The sequence below is a fragment of the Homo sapiens genome, chromosome 7, assembly GCF_000001405.40.
Source record: "Homo sapiens chromosome 7, GRCh38.p14 Primary Assembly".
NCBI classification, from domain to species: Eukaryota; Metazoa; Chordata; class Mammalia; order Primates; family Hominidae; genus Homo; species Homo sapiens.
The window spans coordinates 130871239-130897703 of NC_000007.14; the positions used below are offsets into that span (position 1 = coordinate 130871239).

The following is a 26465-nucleotide window of genomic DNA, read 5'->3' on the forward strand; positions in this document are numbered from 1 at the left end:
GGTGAAGAGATTGAGACCATCCTGGCCAACGTGGTGAAACCCCATCTCTACTAAAAATACAAAAATTAGCTGGGCGTGGTGGTGTGTGCCTGTAGTCCCAGCTACTTGGGAGGGTGAGGCAGGAGAATTGCTTGAACCTGGGAGGCGGAGGTTGCAGTGAGCTGAGATTGCGCCACTGCACTCCAGCCTGGGCGACAGAGCGAGACTCTGTCTCAGAAAAAGAAAAAAAAAAAAGATTCAACCAGGAGGGTAGATGTAATAAGTAGGAGGGACTTTTTCTCTAGGCAGTACCACTTATTCTTTTCCTGAGGATGTTGGTTTTATATGGATTGTCTTTAAGCATCACTTGGAAACGCTACAAATAATGCAGCTAAATGTTTAAGCAATTAGGAAATAGGAATTTTTAAATACAGAATTTTGCACTGCAGAGTGTTTACAAGTATTAAAAGATTGTATTACACAACTGTTGTTAAATTCTAGTAAGATAAATTGATACTAAAGAAAACAAACCCAGAAAGATCAAGTGACTTGGATCACACAACACAGGAATTAAGAAGGAAATTAGTATTCTTTGTTGAATATTTTCCATTTGAATAGTTACAGGAAAATTATTTGCATATTTTACAAATTAATGTGTATTGACATCATAGTGGAAAATAACCATTTGTAAATCTGGAGCAGTATTTGATATACTTACTAATAACTTAAAATATATATATTATATAATATATATATGTTTTAATTAGCCATGTGTGGTGGTACATGCTGTGAACCCAGCTACTTGGGAAGCTGAGGTAGTAAGATCCCTTGAGCCAGGAGTTCAAGGCTGCAGTGAGCTATGATCACCACTGCACTCTAGCCTGGGTGACAGAGTGAGACGCCGTCTCAAAAAACCCAAAACCATCGTTTTATGAGATATGAACAATAGAGGAAACTAGGAGAGAAATATAAAGGAACTCTCTATACTATCTTTGCCTTTTTTCTGTAAATCTAAAATTATCCCCCCCAAAAAAGTTTATCTAAAAAGTTAGGAAAGTTAGATACTAAAGGCAGAATGTTTGAGGCTAGATAAGGATACTATGAGCTGTATTAGCTATCTATTGCTGCATAAGTAACCCCAAAAGTTAGTGGCATAAAACAATAAATTTATTATGTCATAGTTTCTGCAGGTCAGGATCCTGGGCATGGCTTAACTGGGTCTTCTGGCTCAGGGTCACTCACTCATAGGCTGCCATCAAGGTTTTGGCTGGCGCAGTGGTCACCTGCAAGCTCGTTGAGAGAGGACCCACGAAGGCCACTCGTGACTCTCAGCAGGCCTCAGGTCCTGGCGAGGTATTGGCTGAAGACATCAGTTCCTTGTGGAATGTGGGCCTCTCCATTGGGCAGTTCCCAGTATGGTAGCTGGCTTTCCAGAGTATGTGTACGAGAGAGAGAAGAGAGAGATAAGAGAGAGGAGAGAAGGGAGAGAAGAGAGAAAAGAGGAGAGGGAGAGAGAGAGAGCATGTCGTGAGGGTGCAAGCCTGAGGAAGAAGACAACAGAATCACAGTCTATTTGTAACCTAGTCTCAGAAGTGACATCTATCACTTTTGACATATTCCATCCATTAGAAGCAAATTACTAGGTCCAGTCCACACTCCAGGGGAGGGAATAGCACAGGGCATGAATGCCAGTAGGTGGGGATCAAGGGGACCACAGATGAGGCTGCCCAGCAAGTGAACACACCCATTTACGCCATCTCCCACACTGAAATGAGCAGTGCTGATTTAAGAGCACAGGCTCTGGAATCACAGAGATCTGGGTTTGTGCTCCTGCTTGGAAATGTCAGTTAGACGATCTTGGATTATTTAATTCTTTTGTTTCTTCATGGCAAAATGGGAATGATGATAATAACACTGACCTCAAAGGGCTGTTTTGAAAGTCAGACTAAATGAGCTAATTCATGCAAAATACTTACCAAGTATCTAACACAAAATAAGAGCTCAATGATGATGATAAGCTGCTATTATCATCATCATCACCACCGCCACCGCCACCTGATTTGTAATTCAAACTCTCATGTTGACTAGCCGTGGCATTGCAGGCAAGTTACTTGACTTTCCTGTGCATCTGTTTCCTCGTGCATAAGCTGGGGAAATACTACCCACCCTTCAGAGCTATTGGGAGAGGAGGGTGGTGATCACGTGCTTGGCCCTTGGTCGCTGTAAATGATTACTTTTAATGGGGGTTCAGTCTGCTTTGCATAAATTTACTGCCCTTTTTGGTTAAGGCACATCTGTTTTTCTGTCTTTGTTTGCTCTTCTATGAAATGAGGACAACAATCCTTAATTATTTTGCTTTTCATGGCTCTCTAGCCTATTAAACAATTCCTGTTTATGCATTTAGAAGGAAAAAAAAAACCACATGGGTAATCCATAATGGAAGATACATCAAAATCATATTTATGGTCTCAGAAATGTTCTTTGAAGCAGGGTTATTTTCTTCCATCTTATTTTGGTCATCATTGGAAGTAGTTTTTATTCCTCATGCACATGGCAGATGAAAATGGAGAGAAACTATGAAAAGTAGAGGCTGCAGCCTAGAAGGAAGATTTGCCACAGACACCTACACAAAGGATAGCTCACGTGGAATGTAAGAATGGAGTGTACACAGTATGTCTTGTTCTTGTCTACCGTCCCTCCTAGGAGCAAGGATTTTCCAGCCTTGCAGAGAAGCCTAGTAGGTAATCAATCATGAGAATATAACATGCGAAGTGCCATCAGGCTCTGAAGGGGTACAGAGAAGAAAGCCTTTGCCCAGGGATCTAAGCCTTGATGCAGAAGGCAGAGGAAGGCTTCCTAGACAAGTTTACACCTGAGCCAGGGGCTGCAGGTTGGAGGTCCCTAGCTTACAGTCCCTAGGGGCTGGAGGTCCCTAGCTGACGAGGAGGAGGAGAGGGGAGATGTGGGCAGAGGAAATAGCACAGACACAGGCTAAGAAATGCCAAGATACCTGAGTGTTCTCAGCAGCAAGCAGCTGGGTGAGCACAGAACACAGGCCCCAGGAAGCACAGCCAGAAGATGGTGACACAGGTAGGCATGGGGTCATGAAGGGTCTGGTACCTGGTTGACACACTTATAAGAGTTCAGCTAAAAGTGAGGGACAAGGAGCAAGGTCATGTGGTTAAACAATTTTTATTTTTATTTTTTAAAGAGATGGGATCTTGGTCTGTCGTCCAGGCTGGAGTGCAGTGATGCAATCATGGCTCATTGCAGCCTCAACCTCTTGGGCTCAAGCAACCTCCTGCCCCAGCCTCCTGAGTAGCTGGGATTACAGGCACCAGCCACCGTGCCCAGCTCACGTATGTATTTTACAAAGATTAACTGGTGGCTATAACAAAGCTAGACTAATGGCGAGGGGTGGGCCCAGAAAGCTGTCTAGGAAGAGCAGAGAAAGGGATGGATCCTAAAGAGAGAATTGAGAGAGAACAGCAACAAGTTGTGCTGAGTATGGATGTGGGTAAGGGAGAGGGAAGAGGTCACAGACCTCTGGTGTTCGCAGCTTTCACCATGGGGCAGAGCAGGGAGAGCTGGCTTTGGGGAGAAGGCAATGTGGATGGCTTTGGTATATGCCTAGTGTTCCATTATTGGAATGCTAAGCATGTGGGAGTTGTCTCCTACTGCTCAAGGTCATTGCCAAGGTCTGATGGCAAAAATTCAAAAAATTGCAACCTCAAGCATAAATGGATTAAATTGAGACAAGTTTAGAAGAGCAGGCTGAACTATTATACTTAGGAGCTACTAAAAATATAAAAAGCAAGATGTCTCAAAAAATATCCCAGGCCAGACCTCTGGTTTGAGGGAAATCAACACATAGGGATGTATTTGGAACCAGGGGAGTAAATAAGATTACTTAGGGAAAACAGCGAATAGGTAAGAAAGCAAAAGACAAGAGTTTTGGGAAAATAATAACCATGGGATAGAAAAAGATGTGGTGGAATGATCCTGATTCTCGTTGGATTTGTGTGGTAGACAGAATGTTTTGGCTACAAATTGCATGTGTTAGCCCCGAGGAGAAAAGGCCTTTTCCAGACAAGTGACAGGCAGGAGGGAAAAGGAGGGAGGCAGTGTGAGAGGGCGGGAAAGCTTAAGCAGGGTAGATAGAATATTAACTCTTGATTGTGAGGCCAGTGGCTTTTCCAGGCCAGAAAGAAAACAGAAGGACAAGGCCCAAATTCCACCAGGTGCCCCTGCAGTTCTCCAGGACGCCACATGGGGACAGCAGGTGGCCGGTCTGTGCAGTACCTGTGTTGGGAGCTGCACACAGGGGCCCCTGGAGGAGGAGCGGCCGAGATGGCTCATTCTTGAGCCTTTTATTTTATTTTATTATTTTTATATTTTATTATTATACTTTAAGTTCTAGCATACATGTGCTTATACCCAAAGGATTATAAATCATGCTGCTATAAAGAGCCTTTTATTTTTGCCTCTTAGTGGACCTAAAAACTCAGTATTGTTTTTGGTCTAATGACTTCACTTCTAGTGAGGTTGTGTTAGTCCGTTTTGCGCTGCTATAAAGACATACCCGAGACTGGGTAATTTATATAGTAAAGAGGTTTATTTGGCTTACAGTTTTGCAGCCGTACAAGCATGGCACTGGTACCTGCTCGGCTCCTGATGAGGCCTCAGGATGTTTTATACATGGTGGAAGGCGGAGAGGGAGCAGACATGTCACATGGCGAGAGAGGGAGCAAGAAAGAAAGAGCAAGAGAGAGGAAGGAGGTGCCAGCTTTTTTAAACAACCGGCTCCCTCTAACTGAGCAGGAACTCGTTAAGTGAGGACATCACCAAGCCATTCACAAGGGATCCGCCCCATCACTCAACCACCCCCACCAGGCCCCACCCCCAATACTGGGGATCACACTTCAACATGAGATTGGAGGGGACAAACATCCAAACCATATCAAAGGTATACTCTAGGATCCTAGTTCAAGTAGCACCTGCTTTTGTTGCTTTGCCTTCTAAACTGAACTGACACATATTAGCACAGTTCTGTCTCAGCCATAGAAACCCAGTTTCTCTGGACCATTTTTCCTTATGTAAGAAAATGACCTGTTTAACCATGGAGGGAACTCCTCAGCCAGCTAAGAGAGGAGAGTTCAGAGATAGCTGGTGCAGCTTCTCATCAACAACAGAATTGACTCCCTCGCTGCTCCTTTCCCATCATCTAAGCCAGTCATCGATTTTCCCCAGGAGTGTTTCTAGGTATCCGTCACCAAAACAAAACCCCCACCAAGTCTATGGAATTTCTATAAAGTATAACCATTCATGATATGCTAATAGTGAACCATTTGTTAGTATTATACCACATGCAATTCAGGTCAGTGAAATTCAACTTAGAAACTGGAAGAAGAAAAATCACCTTTGCATTATTGCTTTGCATTTGTTTTCTTAGTTCTTGTCCATGGCCCCAACGGTCACCAATACATTTCCTCTCAGCAGTCAGCATCATGGTGCTCTTCCCCAATCATTATAACCGATTTCAGATGGTGCTAGAAAATTATATTGACTCTGAACACCAAAAGAAATCAGTCATCCTCTAAGGGGTCACAGAAGGTCGTGAGGGTTGGGAGGGCCCAAATCTTACTAAATCCAGCATACATTGGGCTCTTTAACCCAGGCACAATGGAATGAGTCTGTACTATCTATTAAGTGCTATAGGTTTATTCCACAAAGAAGTATAAAATTCCAACAATGCGATATCCTGTACAATTACATTCATCCCTTGGTATCCTTGAGGGATTGGTTCCAGAAAGCCCCTTGGATACCAAAATCCACAGATGCTCAAGTCTCTGATAGAAAATGGTGTAGTATTTGCATACAACCTACACACATCCTCCCGTATACTTTAAATCGTCTCTAGATTACTTAGAATACTTAATGCAATGCAAATGTATGCAAATAATTGTTATGCAGTATTGTTAGAGAATAATGACAAGAAGAAAGTCTGTTCATGTTCAATACAGACACAACTTATTTTTGGAAAACTTTCGATCACAGTTGGATCCGCCAGTGCAGAGACCTGACTGCCATTTGTGATATATGCCACCACTGTTGGCAGGGGTGAGGAAGGGGTCAGCTACATGTGAGGCAGGTTCTCACAGCCATCCTGCTGTTGCTTTCAAATACTTCAGAGCTGTCCCATTCACTTCTTTTGCTGTTGGTAGTGCAGCGCAGCTGGTCTCCCCCAAGAACACTGATTTCAAATGGTGCTAGACAATCACTATTTAAATCTAAACCACCATATGAAACCAGCTTCCTGAAGAAGCTTTATGATCTATTTTTTTCTTCATAATGCTCTCTTACAATAAACCCAAGACAACCTAGAAAGGAAAAGTTGAAACCTAGCTGTGAGTTACTCAGTGGTCTAAACAGAGCTTTGGCAAATTTCATATATTCATAAACTGATGTCACTGAATTTGTTATTGATGGGAGAGCATGCCTGGGACTCCCTTATTCTTAAGTTAAGTTGCCCAGACAAAGGTTCAGCTTCATCATTTAGAGGCAAGGGCACATGTCAGCCCCGTCACTCTTGGGTGGGAAGACAAGGAAAATCCTTTGCTTGGGTAAAGGCAGGAGAAGTCAGAGGCATCCTGTGATCAAGTACCCAGGCAGGCGGAGGACGACTAGCAGTGGTGCTGGAGAACCGTCCGTCGGACATGCAAATAGGACAAAGCAAGCAAGTGCTCCATAGAAGTTGAAGAAAAACGCTTTCCTAAACCTATTATTTTCACTTGGAGATAACTTGGATCCAAAGGATTACTGAGATTTTGGGGTCTAGGGAAGAAAATAGACTAGCTCAGAGGCCAAGTAAGTCACATAATGGCACTAATGAGATGCTAATGTCGCTTCCGGAATGAATTCCTTAGACTGCATCTATGAGTTAGGGGTTTTTGTGAGCTTTACTTAAGACTCTCCTTCCCTCTACTCCAAAGGTAAGGCTTTGTACTCTGAGTTCTCCTTGGCAAATTATTTTTTGCAGCAGTTCTTTTTCGCCGTCATGGTATAGTTCTTGGTATCATCTTATTAGGTGGCCTGTTGTCGTCCCTTTTTGTGTTCTAGGCATCCAAAAAGATACTTCATGTACCCAGGCCACCTAATTAAAGGGGTGTGCACTGTTTTTATAAACTGTTATAAAAAATTTTATACATTAAATTGGAATGACAATACAATGAATTCCTAAATCCATACTATCTAAATTCAATAACTATTCCTTTTTATCATGTTTTGCTTTAATTATATGTAATATAGATACATATTTTTTGCTGCATTGTTTGAAAGTAAATTGATAACCACCCATACATACACTGCTCCTAACTACTTTGAGGTCGTTCTATAAAATGAAGACACTCTTCTACATAACCACAAAATCTTACCATACCTAAGAAAACAAACAATTCCTTGGTACCCACAAATATCCAGCCTACATCCAACTTCTCCCACTTTCTCCAAACAAAAGGTTTTTTATAGGTTTTTCAAACCCAGATCGCATCAAGGTTGATTCACTAAGACTCTTTGGTCTCTTTTAGCCTCAAAACACTACCCAACCTTTTCTTTGGCTTGTTTTATCATGACATACCACCTTGTGAAAACCAGGCTCCAATCCTGGCTGTACCATTCACTTAGTCTGTTCCCTTGGCTTGTATTTAAGAACTGAACTTTAGTTTCTCCGTCTGACTTTCCTCATATATCATCCTCATTTTACAATCTCACTATGTGTATTAGAAGAACATCCAATTACCACGTGCCTGTGGTTGATGATTCCAAGTGGGTTCAGTGCTAATCAGTCAGGAGGTGCACTGCAGGCTGTTTACCTTGGGTCTGATTAGCATAACATTCTTGTTCCTCATGGGCTTGGCCAGTTATCTTTTCATAAGGAGATCCCAGCACAAACTCATCCTTTATCATCATGGAGAAGCATCCACAGCACATACCTATTGCTGCTAGGCTGGTTTTTAAAAAAAATCTCTGTGAATAAGGGAATAGAACACCAGGGCTATGGAGATGCGTGGCAATCATTTCATCAAAGATGTAAACAGCTTGTTGACTGCAGTGAAAGGCACATACTTTGTGAAGTGACAGGCAGTGACACATTTCAAGTGGATAGTAAATTTAAGCACCAAAACTGGGAAAAGTGCCAGGACAGAAGAATCACTGCAACTCTCAAATAATGGTTTCACTAATTCTGTGATTCCTTTAGGGACCCCCTGCATCCTTCTGTATATGCTACTCTAATTCGCAGTATCAGTGACTGAAGTACAAAAGAAGCAGCCAGATTATTCTCATCAGTTACAAAACTCTAAAGTCTGCTTATTTTTGATAAATAACTAGTCACAGTGTTTGCCTACTGCCTAGAAGTTTTTTCAAATGATTGACACTTCAGTTATGGGGAAAATTTTTCCTGAAGAATGAATTTCTTTTACTTATGTCTGATAAGATCATATATATCTCATACACCAAATACATCACACACACTATATATTCAACCATGCCCTTAGCAGGGCCAAACAAATATGCTAAGTTTTTTACATTGTCTTTATGTATGCTTCTCAAAAATTCAGCAGAAGGCTAAGCGTGGTGGCTCATACCTGTAATCCCAGCATTTTGGGAGGCTGAGGCAGGCAGATCACTTGAGGTCAGAAGTTTGAGACCAACCTGGCCAACATGGTGAAACCCCATATCTACTAAAAAAATACAAAAAAAAAAAACCAAACTAGCCAGGCGTGGTGGCACATGCCTGTAGTGAGGCTGAGGCCGAGGCAGGAGAGTTGCTTGAGCCCAGTAGGCGGAGGTTGCACTGAGCTGAGATCGTGCCATTGCACTCCAGCCTGGGTGACAGAGCAAGCCTCTGTTTCAAAAAAATTAGCCGGGTATGGGATGCCTGCAATCCCAGCTACTCAGGAGGCTGAGGCAGGAGAATCACTTGAACCTGGGAGGCAGAGGTTGCAGTGAGCCAAGATCATGCCACTGCACTCCAGCCTGGGCAATACAGCCAGACTCCATCTCAAAAAAAAAAAAAAAAAAAAAAAAAAAAGGCCAGGCACGGTGGCTCACGCCTGTAATCCCAGCACTTTGGGAGGCCAAGGCAGGTGTATCACGAGGTCAGGAGTTCAAGACTAGCCTGGCCAAGAAGGTGAAACCCTCTCTCTACTAATTAATAATACAAAAATTAGCTGGGCGGGAGGCTGAGGCAGGAGAATTGCCTGAACCCGGGTGGCAGAGGTTGCAGTGAGCCAAGATCGCGCCACTGGATTCCAGCCTGGGCAAAAGAGTGAGACTGTCTCCGAAAAAAAAAAAAAAAAAAAAAATCAGAAGAATAAAGGTATGATACATTATTTTGCATCTGTGGGCTCTTCATATTAGCCCAGTGTGACAAGGTCATTTGGTATATCTTCCCACATTGCTTTTATGTCCTTGGGGAGAAAGTGGGGTACTGAGTTGGCAAGTAGTGACCACGCCAGGTACTCCTGTGTGGCAACAGCTGAGTAGTGGCAGTCGATTGTTTTCTGTGACATGAAAAGCCAGCAAACTGGCTTAAGGTCACTTCCCCTGGGGTTTGAGGATTTCACAAGGAGAGCTCTATCTGAGCAGGACATTTCTTTAAGAACGTAGCTTTGAAATGTTCGAGACATCAGGACAAAACAGTCCCAACCTGAGTATTGAGGCTGGACTACAGATGCAACTGTTACGCAACAGAACACACTGTGATAAGACATCTTGAGTTGGGTCCTTGTTTTCACATAAAGCAAGAGGCTAGTTTCCTGAAAATAAGTCTCCATGAAGAGACTGGCTACCCAGTTAACGGCAAAAAACCCCCATGGCTCACTAGTAAAGAGATGGAAGAAAACCAGTTGATAAATTAAAAAGGGCTCATTCATTCTCTTTCCAGGGCATGCATAGGAGAACAGAGTGAGACAAGTGGGATCTGCTTATTTTGTTGAGTCTTTCAGTGACTTTCAGCTGCAAGGGCAACTCTACTGAGAAGGAAAGATTTCACTCAGTAAACATTAGCATGTTTCCAACCCTGCCTAGCCTCTCATTTCCAACAATCAACTTGATTGTTCTGTATTTTTAGGCCAGGATACACTAGGGCTGAATTTCTGTAACTCAGGATGTTCTATTTTAATCATCAGCAATTTTAAGGCATGGCAACATCTGAAAGAAAAAAAAAACGTAATGACTCTTTCTTACACACAGAACATGCACTTAAAATTGTCAAAACTCTCCATCTCCAGCATTAAAACAATCATCTTTCAAGAACAAAATCCTTTCTCAGTGTCTCTCAGCCCACAAGCCATGAGAATGTGTCTCCATTTCAAAACCCAGTCTGTACCGTCATGCTTCCGCTGTTTCTCAGCAAGCTGCCTTTCTTTGTAACTTTTTTCTTCCAAATCTGATTGATAGTGAAGCTGGAGCCTGAGATGTAAATTAATAAACCACACCAGGAACTCCTTGCATGGCAAAAGCTGAACAGTACAAATCCATTGTTTTCCTGGATGTGAAATGCCAGTCTGTTCTTGCATGAGCAAACTGGATTAAAGTCACTTTCCTTGGGGCCTGCGGATTTCACAAGGAGAACTGCATCTGAGCAGGACACTTCTTTAAGATGTAGCTTCAAAATGTTTGGGACATTGGACACAATAGTCCTAAGCTGAGTATTCAGGCCGGACTATGGGTGCAACTGGTACTGCCCTGACGAGGGGCCACACAGCTCTAAGTCCTTCTTTGTTGCCCCATGTGCCTTGAATGGATGTTTTCTTATAGGAAGCGGATGAACAAGTTAACACAGGATCTGGCTGGGCTGCTTACTAACTATGTGATCCTGGGCAAATCATTTAATTTTTCTGAGCTTCGGTATCCTGATCTGGAGAATGGAGATGCGAATTTCTATATTGCAGTGGTTGTTAGGGTCATATGTAATGCAGTCTGTAAAAACAGTGGGTCACTTTTAAAGCACTATGTGAATGTTTGGTGTTTTATCAGCTGGATCAGAACACTGGAGTGCTTTTGAGGGAGAAGGCCAAAATGAACTGAAAAGTGATGGGAAGTGTACTCTGTGAAATAGTCATAGCTTCCATTTTTGGAACACTTAACGCATGGCAGACACTATGCTATGTGCTTCACATGGACTTTCTTGGCATTCACAACCACTAACATGGTTGGTGGTGGCATCTTCGTCTTTCAGAAGAGGGGCTAGAGACTTAGAAAGGGTACATGACTTCACTTCCTCTTGGTCACAGAGCTGGAGTGGCAGACTGGGACTCAAACTCCAACATGCCTGATTGCCAGCCCAGGCATTCAGCCAGCACTCTTTACTGCTCTGTCCTTTATACCATTCAGCGCATCTTCACATGGACCTCTGAACAGTCACTGGCCCCAAGTCTCAGGGTTTCATCAGTAAGTACATGAGTAAACCATGAAAGCCAGCTTTGGTCATGAGGAGTAGAAGTAGCACCAAATAGCTCACCAAGAGAAAGGGAGAAAAATTGGAAATTAGCACAATTTGGCTTGCACTGAATGGTCAGAAGACCTGGACCCTCCACCACACTTCTGACATGCAGTGTGACCTTAGGCCAGTCCCATCTTCTCTAAAGCTTCATTTTCCCACTAACCTTAAAGAAGTTCAAGTCAAAGAGCACAGTGATGAGTCCCACAGATCATGCTTGAGATGGTGACAGTGTTAAAATACTGACTCCAAAATACAGCCTGGCAGTTTATCTTCTCGAGTTTCCTGTTTCTATGACACTGTACGGTGAGATGGCCAAATGCAGACTCCAGAGCCAGAATGCCAAGCTCTGCCACCAGCTCCTCACACAACCCTGCACAAATCACTTTAACTCTCTGTGCCTCAGTCTCCTCATCTGTAAAATGAGGGTAATAGGCCGGGTGCGGTGGCTCACGCCTGTAATCCCAGCACTTTTGGAGGCTGTGATGGGCGGATCACGAGGTCAAGAGATTGAGATCATCCTGGCCAACATGGTGAAGTCTCGTCTCTATAAAAATACAAAAATTAGCTGGGCGTGGTGGCATGTGCCTGTAGTCCCAGCTACCTGGGAGGCTGAGGCAGGAGAATCACTTGAACCTGGGAGGCGGAGGTTGCAGCAGTGAGACGAAATCGCGCCACTGCACTCCAGCCTGGCGACAGAGTGAGACTCCGTCTCAAAAAAAAAAAAAGATGGTAATAACTGGACCTAGCACATAAGGTTGTTGTGAGGATTAAATCAGGTAAATATGATGAAGCCATCTGAACCAGTGTTAGCACAATGTAAATATTCAGTAAATGGTAGCTATGATAATAAAAGTAATACATTAGTTTTCAATAAGCACATTATAAACAGAGATGTGGCTAAGAGATCCACCACAGCTGGTAAATGGAGAGGGTGCAGAGATCCTGCTGTCACATGCTTTGCCATACATTGACATATTCTGGAGTAACTGACTGCAAAGCTGAAATGGCATCCCCAACTGAATTTACTGAAATTCATATATTTAATATTTTTGACTGCCTTCTCTTCTTCCCAGTCTAAGACCTGAATATGGGATCTATACCCTTGTTTTTAAGCAGGAGTTCATGTTATAGATTCTTCCTGACCGTAAACCGGGAGTTGGGTGGTTGAGAGAAAAAGAGTAGAGATCAAATACTAATGATCATTTAAAAAAACATATCAGGCTTGTCAGGCACGGTGGCTCACACCTGTAATCCCAGCACTTTGAGAGGCTGGGGCAGAGAATCACTTGGCCCAAGTTTGAAACCAGGGCAACACAGGGAGACTCTGCCTCTACAAAAGAAATTTTAAAAAACTAGCCAGGCGTGGGTGGTACACGCCTGTGGTCCCAGCTACTTGGGAGGCTGAGGTGGGAGGATCGCTTGAGCCTGGGAGGTTGAGGCCGCAGTGAGTTGTGATCACACCACTGTACTCCAGCCTGGGCAACAGAGCAAAACCCTACCTCAAAAAAGAAAAAGAAAAATGTACTGAGGAATCATCCAGGGACAAAATAAAACTCCCTTGAGGTTGACTTATAAGCAGAAGCCTCTACTTACGTAGGTGTAAAAGCAGTCTGTTAACAGATATTTTCCAGGCACAGAAATCCTCAGGAGGCATTTGTTCAGAAGACCTGCACCTGGAATTTAAATGACAGTATGAGCTCCTAGGAAATCTCCTGGAGTAACAGCAGAAGAAAAAGTCAGTTGTTTTCTCGTAAACATGTTTCTCCACCAGTGTCACCAACAGATGCATTTTTAAAAACAAGAAATAGAAAGCACCTTCTCTTTCCTGCTTAAGACACACAGGTTGGGAAAGTTCCTGTACAGTGAGCAACACATGCCCCCTCATGCTGGTGCTCTGTGCGGGAGAAAACGTGAGGTGTGGCCGTTGCTAAGGAAACCGCTGACACGAGGCAGAGCAGCAAGGTTTGCTCAGCAAGGTGTCTTAGGAAATAAAACACAGTCTAAGCCTATAGATCCCATCACAGAAGAAAGGCAGGCAAGGATCCCGCACAGGAGACGGTAGAAGGCTTCTATTTTCACAACTGATTCTGCAGCCTCGTGCTGTAGCAGTACAGGCTGCAGAAGGTTTGTGGAGGGGAGCGCCGGTCTGCAAGGACGGTCTGTGACGGCTTCAGAATCAGGTGGAGGGCAACTGAGAAGAATGGAAACCACCTCACATTCTCTCCTACCTGGTCTAACTTTACAGACGAAATGCATCTTTCAGCTGCATCACAAGAGAGGAAGCCAAGGTCGTAGGGTCTTCATTTCTGAAAACTGATTGTTCAAGTAAATCCTTCAGTCGTCCCCCTGATGCGACCTGCTAGGGAAGCTGGGAGTGCCTTCACAGTGGCTCCAAGGGGGTGTCCTTATAGGGGATTACATCTCAAGACACATTTTACCCAGCAAGAGGCTGCATGACTCAGCAGTCTGATGAAGAAAGCTCTGTTAAGTTACCACCAATTGCAATTTCTAAGTTAATGATTACAGCTCCACCGAGGAACCAGAACACAGCTGAGGCCACAGAGCATTCCCCGTGCTTACTGGCCAGTGGGGATGATGTTGCCCAGATGTGTGGGTCGGAGCTGAATGGTGAAGACAATGATTTGTGATTCGCAGGTGGACTCTTTAAGCCAGGTGCTACTGAACATGCTCTTCAGTGACTGGGAAGCTCTCAAGAAAGATGATATCACAACAGGAACAGATTATGTTGGGAAGATTCTTGAGAGTTGAGATTAAAATCCAAGAGGAGCTCGGCCAGTAAAATAAATGGTCAGAAAAAGCCATTTGATACTGTCCTACAACAGAAAATACATCTAAAAAATCAAGCTGAGAAGTACAGATGGGAAGGAAGAGGCAGTGGGGTAAAACAACAATCAAACCAACGTGAAGCTACCGAACACACAGAATTCTGGAATATTTAAACACTATCATAATAGCATGTTTCCAAAATTGTCTGATTATAAAAATGGGTATAGAAAACCAACGTCAGACAGGAGCTCTTTCATTTTTTTCTTTTTTTTTTTTTTTTTGTGAGATAGTCTCACTCTGTCACCCAGGCTGGAGTGCAGTGGCATGATCTTGACTCATTGTAACCTCCGCCTCCTGGGTTCGAGCGATTTTTTCTCATGCCTCAGCCTCCCAAGTAGCTGGAGTTTTAGGCGTGTGCCACTACACCCAGCTAATTTTTGTATTTTTAGTAGAGATGGGGTTTTGCCATGTTGGCCACGCTGGTCTTGACCTCCTGACCTCAGGTGATCCGCCCACCTCGGCCTCCCAAAGTGTTGGGATTATAGGTGTGAGCCACCGCGCCCAGCCCTCTTTCACTTTTCAACAGTAACTGAAGTCTGTGTCAGATTGTGAGGAACACCTGTCTGCTGCTTTCTGGAAGCTTTCAGTATTTGAAAAAGTGGCTAGGGAAGCTGCTGGGAAGTCCTTCAATTAACCTTAAAAAGCATGTAATAAAACCTAATTATAGAGCATGCTTCTTTCATCCTCTCTGTCACTCCTTTAGAGAATGTGGTGACTTTCTAAGCCACTGTCCCTGCAACCTCCTAGGATTTAGATGTATGAACATTATTTACAGATGGGAAAAACAGAGCACTGAAAGTTTTGGTCAAGAAAACCGTACGGGTTAGTGATGGGGTTTCTCAATTGTGAAGACCTGAGCTTGACAAATGCATTTTCAGCTTCCCAGGATACCCCTGGCTCCTCAGTGAGCACTGGAAGTTTGTCCCTTCTATAGCAGCCCTTGGCAGTTCCAGTCTAGGGGCAGAAGCCAGCCTGCCACTGCAGAGAAGAGCAGCAAGTTCCAGCCCAGCCGGCGAGCACGCTGCACTCATGGGCTTCCCAAGGCTCTGGCGGGAAGTCACGGGTCAAGTGAGGTCTTCTTAGGTGCTCAACAGTCACACTCTGGGGCCTGAAAGGTCTTAGAAGCTTATCTCTGTCAATCTCTGCTTAGAATCAAATCGATCAATCAATACCTTTTCCTTCTCTTTGCTTCTCCTACTGAGCCCCAGCATATTTGAGTGAAGGTACTTACATGTACGTAGCCTTTTAAAAGCCAAGTACTATCAAGTGAGCTCCCATTTCAAGGCACGTTTGAACTGGGAATAGAAAGACGGGCAGCTTAAGCTTTGGGATCATACAGACCCGGATTCAAATTTCACTTGTTACACAGCCTTGGCAAGCTATTCAATCCTTTTGGGGCTTTAGTTTTTTGTTTTTGTTTTGTTTTTTTAATTTATAAAGTAGAAATGATGTTAACTCTCAGAGTTGTTGTGAAAACACAGCTGACTCAAATAAAATACAAGATACATAGATTTTCAACACATTAACCCCCACCACCCCACCACTTTCCCCTGTGAGGGGATGGCACATCTAACATTTTTGGGTAAAATTTCCAGAAGATCTATACAGTCGAGTTGTTAAAAACTGGTGTGAAAGACTAAAATAAGATTAGGCATCAGTAAATCAAGGCTGCGGGTGGGTCTGGGGGCTTCTCTGGAGGGAAAGGCCAGACCAAGGGATGTCCCAACAGGAAGTTAGGAGTCTGGGGAAAGACAGATATGATCTGAAACTGGGACCAGGAAATTCCAACCATTTCTGCCTACTGATTACTCATCATTGATTCACCAAGTTTACAATTTACCAGGAGGATATGGGAGCAAACGAGAGGTAAATCCCACTGAAGTTTAAAACATAAAAATAGACAATGACAGAGGGTGTCAAAGGAAACCACAGGGCATGGCGGGGGCAAACACAGGAGGCGCCGGTCCCCGTGAGCCAGACACAGGAGGGACATGCCACTTCTTCCACGAGGGACTAACTAGCAGCAATGCTGCAGAGACACAGGTCACTTCTCAACATTCCTGGTCAAGACAGACCTCTTAAAATCATGGGTAAATATCCACCGACTGCCTCCTAGAAGCCCGCACTGTGCTGCACGCTGCTGGGGAATACTGAGGAGGGGATGTGAAATGTCTGTATGTGACCCAGGACCTAACTGTGGAATGGAGTCCAATTCTCAGGGACAGAGAAAGTGCTCCGGTGTGTCCTGCTGGTGGAGAGCACAATCGTCATTGGAGACTGGATGAGCTCAGGGCAGGCTGATGGATTATTCAGGAGAGGCTTCATAGGGGCCAGGGGCCTGAGCTGGGCTCTCCAGGGGTGCAGCCTGGGCAGGGGAGAAAGGGAGAACTCTAGGAAGGGGACGGTAAAATCATGCCAGATGTGGCAGGGGTGAAGACAGTGGGGGATTGGGCAGAGCCATGGTAGACATCCCACCGCCAGGGATCAGAGATGACAGGGCAGCAGGCGTGCGGGGGTGGAGCCCACATGTAGATCCCCCGCCCCCGCACACAGGGTCAAAGTTAGCTGGGATCAGGGATGACGGGGGGGTGAGAAGAAGCGTGGATTTTATGAAGAGTAGAAGAAACAGATGTTTGTTAAGACCTAACATGTGGGAGGCACTGCTGTGGACAGGAGTGAGTGAGACGCAGGGCCGGTCTTCATGGAGTTTACAAGCTGGCGGGGGATACAGCCCTGTGGACAGATAACTGTCATTACACGGGCTAAACACTAGCATAGGGGGAATTCTAGGAGATACAGGGACCCACAGGTATGGCACCAGACTATGGGGTCAGAATAAGATCTCACCACAGAGGTATGAGCAAAAAGAAACAGGATATGGTCTGTTCCTTTCAAGCTTCCCACAGGGGCCAGGAGCCCCTTTTGCAGGATGTCTTAATAAATGGGACATAAAGGTACCCATTTGTCTAGAGTGCAGTGTTGGCTGCAGACAGTGAACATATGAAATGATGCCCTTAAAATGCCCTTTGGCTCAAAACGAGTCCCCTTCCCTGACCCTAGCTTTAGAAATCAAAAGGAAGATGATCATGTCATGGGACCCCAAATTACACTCACACTGCAGGTGAAACACTGGGGTGACTTTCACACGCACAGCTAAGAAGGAAGCCAGTTTCCGTATGACTGCAAGTGCACAGAAAATCTAGCATGCCGAACAGGAGGAGCAGTGGAGGGGAGTGCTCGCTTAGGAGGGACCCAGGAGCATGCAGAGCCTCTGTCCTGAATCTGCTCCCTCTATGTAAGGAGGCCATGAATAAGGTACCCATTCCAAGAACAACAGCAAGGGGAGGGTTAGGAGACATTCTCATCCAATGTGAATATAAAAATCTTAAGAAGAAAACAATACCCACTGCTTTCTGTTCCATTGTCCCAGCTTACTGTGTGATTTTCTGTTAGGAGAACTGTACCCACAGCTTTAATTTGATGCATTTGCTGGATCATGCTTTTTTAAACAAATATAAAGCAGAGAAGAAAAAAAATCCAAGGTAGATTTCAGTTAAACTATCACCACCACGACTCTCCAATTCACTCCCGTGTAGAAAATGTGCATTTGTTTCTACGGAGCATGTGTAGACAGCCCTAGCTCCCTGGAAGAGAGATCTGAGGGAAGGCCATTATGGACGCACAGTGGTCTTAACACAGCGAAACTCCTCTCTTCAGTAGCTTTTTTTTTTTTTTTTTTTTTTTGAGACAGAGTCTTGCTCTGTTGCCCAGGCCGGAGGCAGTGGTGCGATCTAGGCTCACTGCAACCTCCGCCTCCCAGGTTCAAGTGATTCTCCTGCCTCAGCCTCCCAAGTAGCTAGACTATGGGTATGCCCCACTACACCCAGCTAATTTTTGTATTTTGAGTAGAGATGGGATTTCACTATGTTGGCCAGGCTGGTCTTAAACTCCTGATCTCAGGTGATCCACTCGCCTGGGCCTCCCAGAGTGTTAGGATTACAGGCGTGAGCCACCACGCCCAGCCAGTAGCTCTTTTAAAAATAAACTGGGCTGGGCATGGTGGCTCACACCTGTAATCGCAGCACTTTGGGAGGCCAAGGCTGGAGGATCGCTTGAGGCCATGAGTTCGAGACCAGCCTGGGCAACACAGCAAGACTGCATGTCTCTACAAAAAAGTTTAAAAGTAGCTGGGTGTGGTGGTGAGTGTAGTCCCAGCTACTTGGGAGGCTGAGGCAGGAGGATCGTTTGAGCCCAGGAGGTTGAGGCTGCAGTGAGCCTTGATGGTGCCACTGCACTCCAGTGACAGAACGAGACCCTGTCATACACACACAAAAAATTAAAATAAATTGCCTACTTTAAAAATAAAGACAAGGTGGGGCGCAGTGGCTCATGCATGTAATCCTAGCACTTTGGGAAGACGAGACAGGTGGATCACTTGAGGTCAGGAGTTCGAGAGCAGCCTGGCCAACATGGCGGAACCCCGTCTCTACTAAAAATACAAAAATTAGGCGAGCTAAGAGATCACAGCACTGCACTCCAGCCTGGGTGATGGAGCGAGACTCTGTCTCAAAAAAATAAAAATAAAATAAAAATTAATACAGGTGTTGGGAATGAGGTCTGGGAGGTGGCTGTCATTTATCTCTAAAATCATGCTAGAAGCTAAATATATAATCATTTTTCCTCCACGTTGTTTCCATGGGCTTAGAAGAGGGAAAAAATGGCACTTAGTGTTACTAGGACCAAAAGACAGCTCCTCCTACTAAAAGATCATCCTGGAGTTGCTTAACTGAATATTTATGACATACTAACATCCTTTGGGGGAAAACACGTTTCGAAATAATCAATTAAAAAAAGCAAAGTGATCAATGACAGCTGTTTAAACACCACCTGGAAAAATAGGATTTACTCCACAGCAGCTCCCTGGGTGCAGAGATCTTGGTGCAGATCCCATTTCGCTGACTTGCTTTCTCTCCTTAGACAAATGTGTGTGGCGGGGCTGAGTACCTGCTCATGTCCTTTTCTGGGGACGCCACACATGGCTGGTTTCTGGCCCTTGGGGACAGTGGCTCAGGTCCAGAGGAGAACCCTTACTGGCTGTAGTGTGGTGGGCACAGCAGGGGTGGGCCGGTTCACCTCCTGGCTTTGAAGAAATGGGTTCTCTCCTATGGCATCTGTGATTCCCAAAGTCCTCAATCAAGCAGGAAGGGGGTGAGTCGATGGCTCTTCCCAAGGCCTTCTCCTCCCATGGACAGCTTCTCTGTCCGAGTTCTCTCGCCGTTTCTCCCCCTTTACTCCATCCCAAGAGGCACTTGTGAGCTTCAAGGGCATCTTCTAAATATTACATTCACTCAGTGCCCCAAAGAGGACAGCCTGTTCTTAGAACATTGCTCAATTCTTTCTCCTGTGGTAAGGATTCAGTTTGTTTTATTAAGAACTAGTGTGGCATAAGTTCATTCTCATCCAAAAAAAAAAAAAAGAAGTATATCAAGTCTCTTCTTTTGGCATATAGTAGATAGAATTGTTATTATTCTTGTTTCTGTCCCAGAGCTAATACATTCACGACACACTGGCAAAGGATATTTTGAAAAAGCTGTCTATGGCAAATAACTGATTTGTTTCATTTTGTAAAAATGAAGTTCTCCTTTCTGACCCAAGTCGTTTTCTAAACGATCTCAAAGGGCAAGCTGCCTCTTCCAGCGGGAGGCTGAGGCCACGCTGGAACCTCCTTCCGAGGTCTGGACAAGAGCTGTGTGGTGCAGAGGAGGGAGGGCTGGGCCCAGAACCCAGAGGTCTGCCTCGGGCTGGCCTCTCTCTCCAGTCCTGTGACCTCTGGCTGACCAAAGCCTCCCTGGTTCCGTCCCTTCATGTCTGAAATAAGCAAGCTATATTTAATAGTTTTCCTTTTGCTCTAAAATAAGATGATTCTGAAATACGACATTAAGTGTGAGGCTGGTTTCTGCTTTGGACCTCACCTAAGGGGTTTTAGTCATAAGCCCATGCGTGGAAACTGGCCCTGCCAAAAAAGAAACATTCTGAATCATTCAAAACCATTAAGAATGTTGGCTCTGACTTCAGAAAGGCAAGATAAACAGACCCGTGCCCAGCGGGAACTCACTTACTGGATGTCTCTGTGTTTTTAACTCATCGGTGCCTGAGTACTTCCCAGGTTCCTTCGAATGGCTTCAATGTTTAACGCTGTCACATTTGTACTATGAACTCCACTTTCATAAAGGCGGGGGCAGGGGGGTATTTAATTTGGTGCTAAGTGCTCATTAATCTTTTTAGTGTGGTCACCAGAACTGGCTTTTTTGCAGCCTCTAATCCAAAAGCAGGTTAATTCTCCTGCCCCACACAGGTTATAAAGTTAAGAAAATGTGGCACATATACACCATGGAATACTATGCAGCCATAAAAAATGATGAGTTCATGTCCTTTGTAGGGACATGGATGAAATTGGAAACCATCATTCTCAGCAAACTATCGCAAGAACAAAAAACCAAACACCGCATATTCTCACTCATAGGTGGGAATTGAACAATGAGATCACATGGACACAGGAAGGGGAATATCACACTCTGGGGACTGTGGTGGGGTCGGGGGAGGGGGGAGGGATAGCATTGGGAGATATACCTAATGCTAGATGACACGTTAGTGGGTGCAGCGCACCAGCATGGCACATGTATACATATGTAACTAACCTGCACAATGTGCACATGTACCCTAAAACTTAGAGTATAATAAAAAAAAAACATTAAATAAAAAAAAATAAAAAAAAAAAGAGTGAAAAAGTTGGGTCAAAAGATGAATCTGTTGTACATGTTGGTATATGTCACTGAATTGTCCTCTGGAAATGTGCCAAATCAATAAACTCATAAATGTCTTCTGAAAAAAAAAAAAAAAAAAAAAAAAAAAAAAGGAATAAAGCTTCCCCGCCCAGCCTTTAAAGTCCTTTTCCCCTAAACAATACTCCAAAATCAATGAATCTAGAGATTCTTTGCACCGGAGTGGTTTCCAAATCAATTGACCTCTAAGCTCCAAATGCATTTTGATTCTGCTTCTATTGATCTGAAATAATAAAGGCTATGGAATTGGGATATGGTTCTGGTTTCTAGTGGAGTTTACCTGAAAAACTAGGATACCTTTGACCATCCATATTTCTAGGAAGCCCTCTGACTATCCATATTTCTAGGAAACCCTTTGACCATCCATATGTGGCTACTTTTTTATACATACAGTACTCATGCAAAATAAACAGAAAAATAAAAGAGTAAATCCCAACTTCCAGGTGACAGTTTACAGCATATCTGGCAACTACGTGGTAGAGTTTAGTGGGCCTGCCAGAGTCCTTGTGTATGCCCCAGACATAGGCATACACACACAGAGCTCAAGAAAGCTGCTCAAGAAAATGACAGTCTTTTTTTTCTTTTTCTTTTTCTTTTGGGGGGAACTTTCACTGGTATAGAACTAACTGGGCACATAATGGGTAAGGACAAACACTGAAACTTTTTTTTTTTAAGTTAAAAAATTCCAGCTGGGCATGGGGTGGCTCATGCCTGTAATCCCAGCACTTTGGGAGGCTGAGGTGGGTGGATCACCTGAGGCCAGGGGTTCAACACCGGCTTGGCCAACATGGCAAAACCCCATCTCTACTAAAAATACAGAAATTAGCCAGGCGTGGTGGTGGGCACCTGTAATCCCAGCTACTTGGGAGGCTGAGGCAGGAGAATTGTTTGAACCCGGGAGGTGGAGGTTGTAGTGAGCTGAGATCATGCCACTGCACTCCAGCCTGGGCGCCAGAGCGAGACTCTGTCTCCAGAAAAAAAAAAAAAAAAAGTTAAAAATTCCATGTTCAGAAAGCAAGAGACACGGTGTTATTTTCTCCAATTCTGAAAGCTCCCAGTGGTGACAGCATCGTTAGCCATGTGTAACATGTGCATCCAGGCAACTGACTGTCACCAGACTTCTCCATGGCCTTACTCAAACTGAGTAAGCTGGTAGTATTTCCTAAGAGTTGTCACTCAGTTGTGAAAACAGAGAGCTTTTTGTTTTTTGGAAAATCCTGATCAGCCGAAATGACTGGGTGGTCAGCCTTGCCCATCTTTTGGCTACTTAGATAAAGGCTTCTTTTCCCAGGCAAGGAGAGAGATGATGGTTAACTTGCTTTTTAGACTGAGGTCATTGCTATTCGCTGGTGTAATGAATAAGCTAGACGTTTAAAAACAAAACAAAACAAAACAAAAAACCTCCTTTCAAAAGCAACCACATTTTTCTCTTCTCTGGAAATGAACAGAACGCGTCATGAACAGAACACGTCATAATTTTTTAAACATCCATCAGTGCCCATGAAAAAAATTTTTAAAAATAATCTGAATCTCACTTGTTTATTGCCTACAATATCAATCAATGGCTTAGGTATCTCTCCGTGTTCTATTACTTCTCACCGCTCTTAATTCATGAGGTCAAACAGAATCTTAAAACATCATTAAAAAATTTCCTCCCTTTCCATGTCTCAAGGTATCTGTAAATGGACAATTTGGGTGTGCTGAAATCAAATGACTGACCAAGGCCCATAACTGTGATCACAGGTAAAATGTTTTTCTGCTTTGCCAAAAATCCGAGTTTCCTTTGCTCTCTCTGTCAAGCTGAAAGAGCCCTCCCAGACCGAGGGGCCAGGTGGAGAGGCCACTCACACCCGCCCTGTGCCGGTCTACCTTGGATGGCCTCACCAGGGCACGGTTCCCGGGGTGGTGACTCAGCTCTGGAGGACCACCTGCTGCGTGGGGGTTGCTGCCTAGCAGGTCACTGCCAGTCACGAGGGCAGAGAGACCCAAAGGATCAGAGAACAGCTCTGAGCAGGTCAAGGGCAGTGCCAGAAGGAAAGCCTTTGTTTACAGAGGGAAAGATCCTGCACCTTGAAGTGAGGCATTAAAGAGTAGAGGGGCTTTGCACCTGCATCCTAAGCCTCTTGGTTCACCACTAAGCCGCAAAGCCACAGGGAGGAAACCACTGGGAATACCATCACAGAAAATGAAGGTAGGGCCACAGGGCACCTCCCACTCTCAAAGGGAAAAGACGGCCCTGGATCATCTTTCTAAAACACCACTTTGATGAAGTCGCCATGGTTTTCTAAAGTAATAAATGGCAGCCACTACCTGCAAGATAACAGAGTGCATTTGAAACCTTTCCACCACCTAAGTCCAACCCACCTTCAGGGCATTCGCTCTACTTCCTTAGATAAAGCCTCTGCTGGGGTTAAGATGTTCTGTCTCCGCTGCCCCCACTCTGCAGGCTTTCTCCTCCCGCTGGCTGGTGCAGAGAATGGGGGAGCCATTAGGAGCCACAGACACTGAGCTATTCTACATGGAATTCTTTTTATTGTTTGATCTATTTCACATGTACAAAGCTTTGACCTTCCAGTTCTAAGAATTCCTACTTAGAACTGGTAGGTTCTAAGAACTCCTACTTAGAACTGGTAGGTTCTAAGAACCTCCCTGGACCGATTCTGGCACATGTCTCTTCTGAACTCACAGAGCTTGTGCCTTAACAATTTAGAGTCAACTGACTTTGCTGTCCTCTCTAATGTGTTAAGTTTCAGTCCGTGACAAACATTGACAAGACGTGTACCTCATCAAGCACTGTAAAGGGAAAGGACATGACCCCTGCGGCAGAGGTCCACAGTCACACAGATGACAGAAATGTGCCCGATGCCTTCCAATGTATGTCACAAACGCGTATTTGACAAGGGAGAGCAGAGACTCTGCAGGTGGTGAGTTTTGCCTGCAGCGCCACAGAAGTCTTCATTGGGGAGCTCCAGGCTGGATTTTAAAGGAAAAGCCGAATTTTAAAGGAAGAACAGGTTAAACACCGAAGGAAAATGGGGAGGAGTGAATGTTTCAAGGAACACGTATACCAAACAACAGAGTGCATTCTCTCCAGCTCTGCAGCTCGGGGTTCCAGGGTCGGGGGTCCCACAAGGTGGGAAGGAGAAGCAGGCCTTATCACGAAGGGCTTTGTAGGACAGGCCGAGTGTGTACGACGTTTGAGGTGGAATGACAGGGCTACGCCCTGTGGAAGGGGCCGACTGTAGGACTGCTCGGAATTGGGAGTTTGACAGGAGAGAGGCACTTTCACAGACATTATCTGGTTTGATCACCACCCCTTCTTGAGCCATATATTTGGCGATTAATTGTGCACTTGTGACATGTTCCTTTCTGCTGTCTGTTCCTTAATGCCCCCTGCTTTTTTGTCTTGTCCCCAGCTGGGCTATCTGTTCCTGGCGGCCACAGAACAATACCTTCTTTAATGGCTCCCACAGTGACCAGCACGTGCCTTAAACTCAGAGCAGGTCAATCAATCAAACTCCTTTTAACTGAAAGTTTAGGATGTGCTTTTGCCACACTCTCAAGTAAGTAAGTAAATTCATCAGCAAATACCAAGTCCTAAAATAATGAATGGTACTTAGGAAACACATAAAGAGTGGTAGAAAACTAGATGGGCTGGGGTCATCCTGTGGAGGCCCTGGACGGCCCGGCTAAAGCATTTGGAACTCCTCTGTAGAAGTGTTTTGATAAAGAAATGATGTGATTGAAGCTATGCTTAATAGAAGATGAATTTGGCAGTAGGATGGGCTGGAGGGAGACAGTCGCTGTGGTGGTAGAAAGAAGAGGTGAAGAAGTGTTGCCAAGCCAGGTGAGAGCGTTTGCTACCATCTGCACTAGCACGCAGCGCCGTTCCTCTAGGGCCCCTGGAGCTTAAGGTAGTTCTTTTCTCACATCTGTCGCACTTAGGAAGATCACATGGTGATGCTGGCTTTTATTCTCCCTCCCTTTCTTCCTTCTAATAATTAGCAAGCAACAGTTATCTGCCAGACACTGTGCTATTACACAAGGGGGAGAGAGATGAAAGGCAGTCTCTACTCTGATGCCTTGTGGGAGAGGAAGAAAAGTATCTGGTTAAAACGCAGCATATTGAATTCTCTGATATGCCCTCCCTCCCTCTCTCTCCCCCTGCTGGCCAGTCTGTCTTCCATTTCTTTCTTTTTCTTCCAAAAAAAGGATCTGAGGCATAATGAAGGAAGTCAGCTAGGAATGGGGAAGAAGGAAGCTAATCTAATGCGAGGAATCCCTGGAGGAGGTGGCACCTGAGATGACTTTCAGGTGAGCAGGTATCAGCCAGAGGAAACCAGGAGGAAGGGAGAAGAGACGTGCGCAGACACAGGCTGGGGCAGAGGAGTGGGCTTAGCGGCCTCCTGAGACATGAGCTGGAACCTGGAAAATGAGGAGCCATGAAAGAGCTTTAATGAGAGAAAGACAATGACATCTACGCTTTAGAAGGATCGGTCTGGAGACAGCAGAAGGGCTTATCGGAAGGTAGTGACTCTGTAGTCAAAGAGATAGCAAAGTACAGATTTGAGAGATGCCACAACAGACGCATTAAGCCCTGGAGCTGGAATGATATGCACACTGAGAGAGTGAGGGAGTGAGGTCCTTGCTGAAGACCTTTAAAATGAGTTTATTTCACCCAGAAGCTCCAGCAAGGGACACACTCACTGCCTTGTGCTGGCCACGAGGTGGCAGCCTCGCACAGCCATTTTAGCAGAAAATGCGTCCCATCCTCACCGGCGCTCACCACCACGTGGGCAGAGCCACTAAAAAAATTCCACCACGGGGACAGGAGCTCTCTGAGCTTGCCCCATAAACACGCTTTTCTCCCACAGAAAGCCTCCACAGAAGCAATGAAAAAGTCAGTTGATTTGGGGAGAGAAGCGTAAAAGCTCGTGCTCTTCAGAGAGCTCTGGGCTGTTTCAGGGTGGCGGCCGAGCCCTCTGACAACTGCGAAGAGACGGAGACAATACAGGCTGGGGATGAAGCGGTTCGATGAAGGGCATTACCCCCAACGAGAACCAACTGGAGAACCAACTCGTGGAGAGCTCGGGCCCCATGACTCAGTCTGACCCGACGCTGGCGAATGCTGCTGAGGACCCTGAAAACCTGCAGGGACCCTGTCCCAGGCCAGCGACAGCCACCCCTCAGGGCCCCTGGTCTCTGTCAGGCAATGCGGGTCATCTGAGGGAGGCTGGGCCACAGATTCCACGTGTAGCTGGGAGGGGTTGCTGCGTCTGGCGAGGCAAGGG

General features: G+C 45.0%; 1 long non-coding RNA gene and 2 other non-coding genes across 7 annotated transcripts in view, besides 3 other annotated features; all 3 read right to left on the bottom strand.

Moving 5' to 3' along the window:
• Window positions 4032-4326: an enhancer, noted in NCBI's record as "tiled region #3918; K562 Activating DNase unmatched - State 12:CtcfO". NCBI's record gives its function as "activates a minimal TATA promoter and a strong SV40 promoter by Sharpr-MPRA in K562 cells {active_cell/tissue: K562}" and the evidence as "EXISTENCE:reporter gene assay evidence [ECO:0000049][PMID:27701403]".
• Window positions 4122-4321: a silencer, noted in NCBI's record as "fragment chr7:130560119-130560318 (GRCh37/hg19 assembly coordinates)". NCBI's record gives its function as "represses an EF-1alpha promoter that drives an FKBP-Casp9 reporter gene in an ReSE screen in K562 erythroleukemia cells {active_cell/tissue: K562}" and the evidence as "EXISTENCE:reporter gene assay evidence [ECO:0000049][PMID:32094911]".
• On the bottom strand, window positions 5509-5572 carry MIR29A (microRNA 29a). The gene has a single exon (NR_029503.1). It is a non-coding gene; the product is annotated as a microRNA 29a (primary transcript).
• Window positions 5573-6220: 648 nt separating this feature from the next.
• MIR29B1 (microRNA 29b-1) lies at window positions 6221-6301 on the bottom strand. Its single transcript, NR_029517.1, has one exon. It is a non-coding gene; the product is annotated as a microRNA 29b-1 (primary transcript).
• Window positions 6302-6323: 22 nt separating this feature from the next.
• Window positions 6324-26465, bottom strand: part of LINC-PINT (long intergenic non-protein coding RNA, p53 induced transcript) — a 232364-nt gene continuing 212222 nt past the window's right edge. For 3 of the 5 annotated variants that reach the window (NR_170176.1, NR_170175.1, NR_034120.1), the window contains 2 exons: window positions 13079-13158; window positions 9754-11498 (listed from right to left, as the gene is read on the bottom strand). This is a non-coding gene — a long non-coding RNA (long intergenic non-protein coding RNA, p53 induced transcript). Of the gene's footprint in view, window positions 6360-9753; window positions 11499-13078; window positions 13159-26465 lie in introns of those variants that run through there. The other 2 variants (NR_110473.1, NR_110472.1) reach the window with 2 other exon arrangements.
• Window positions 15239-16438: an enhancer, noted in NCBI's record as "MED14-independent group 3 enhancer chr7:130571236-130572435 (GRCh37/hg19 assembly coordinates)". NCBI's record gives its function as "activates an origin of replication core promoter dependent on BRD2, BRD4, P300/CBP and CDK7 cofactors, and independent of MED14, by STARR-seq in HCT116 cells {active_cell/tissue: HCT116}" and the evidence as "EXISTENCE:reporter gene assay evidence [ECO:0000049][PMID:35650434]".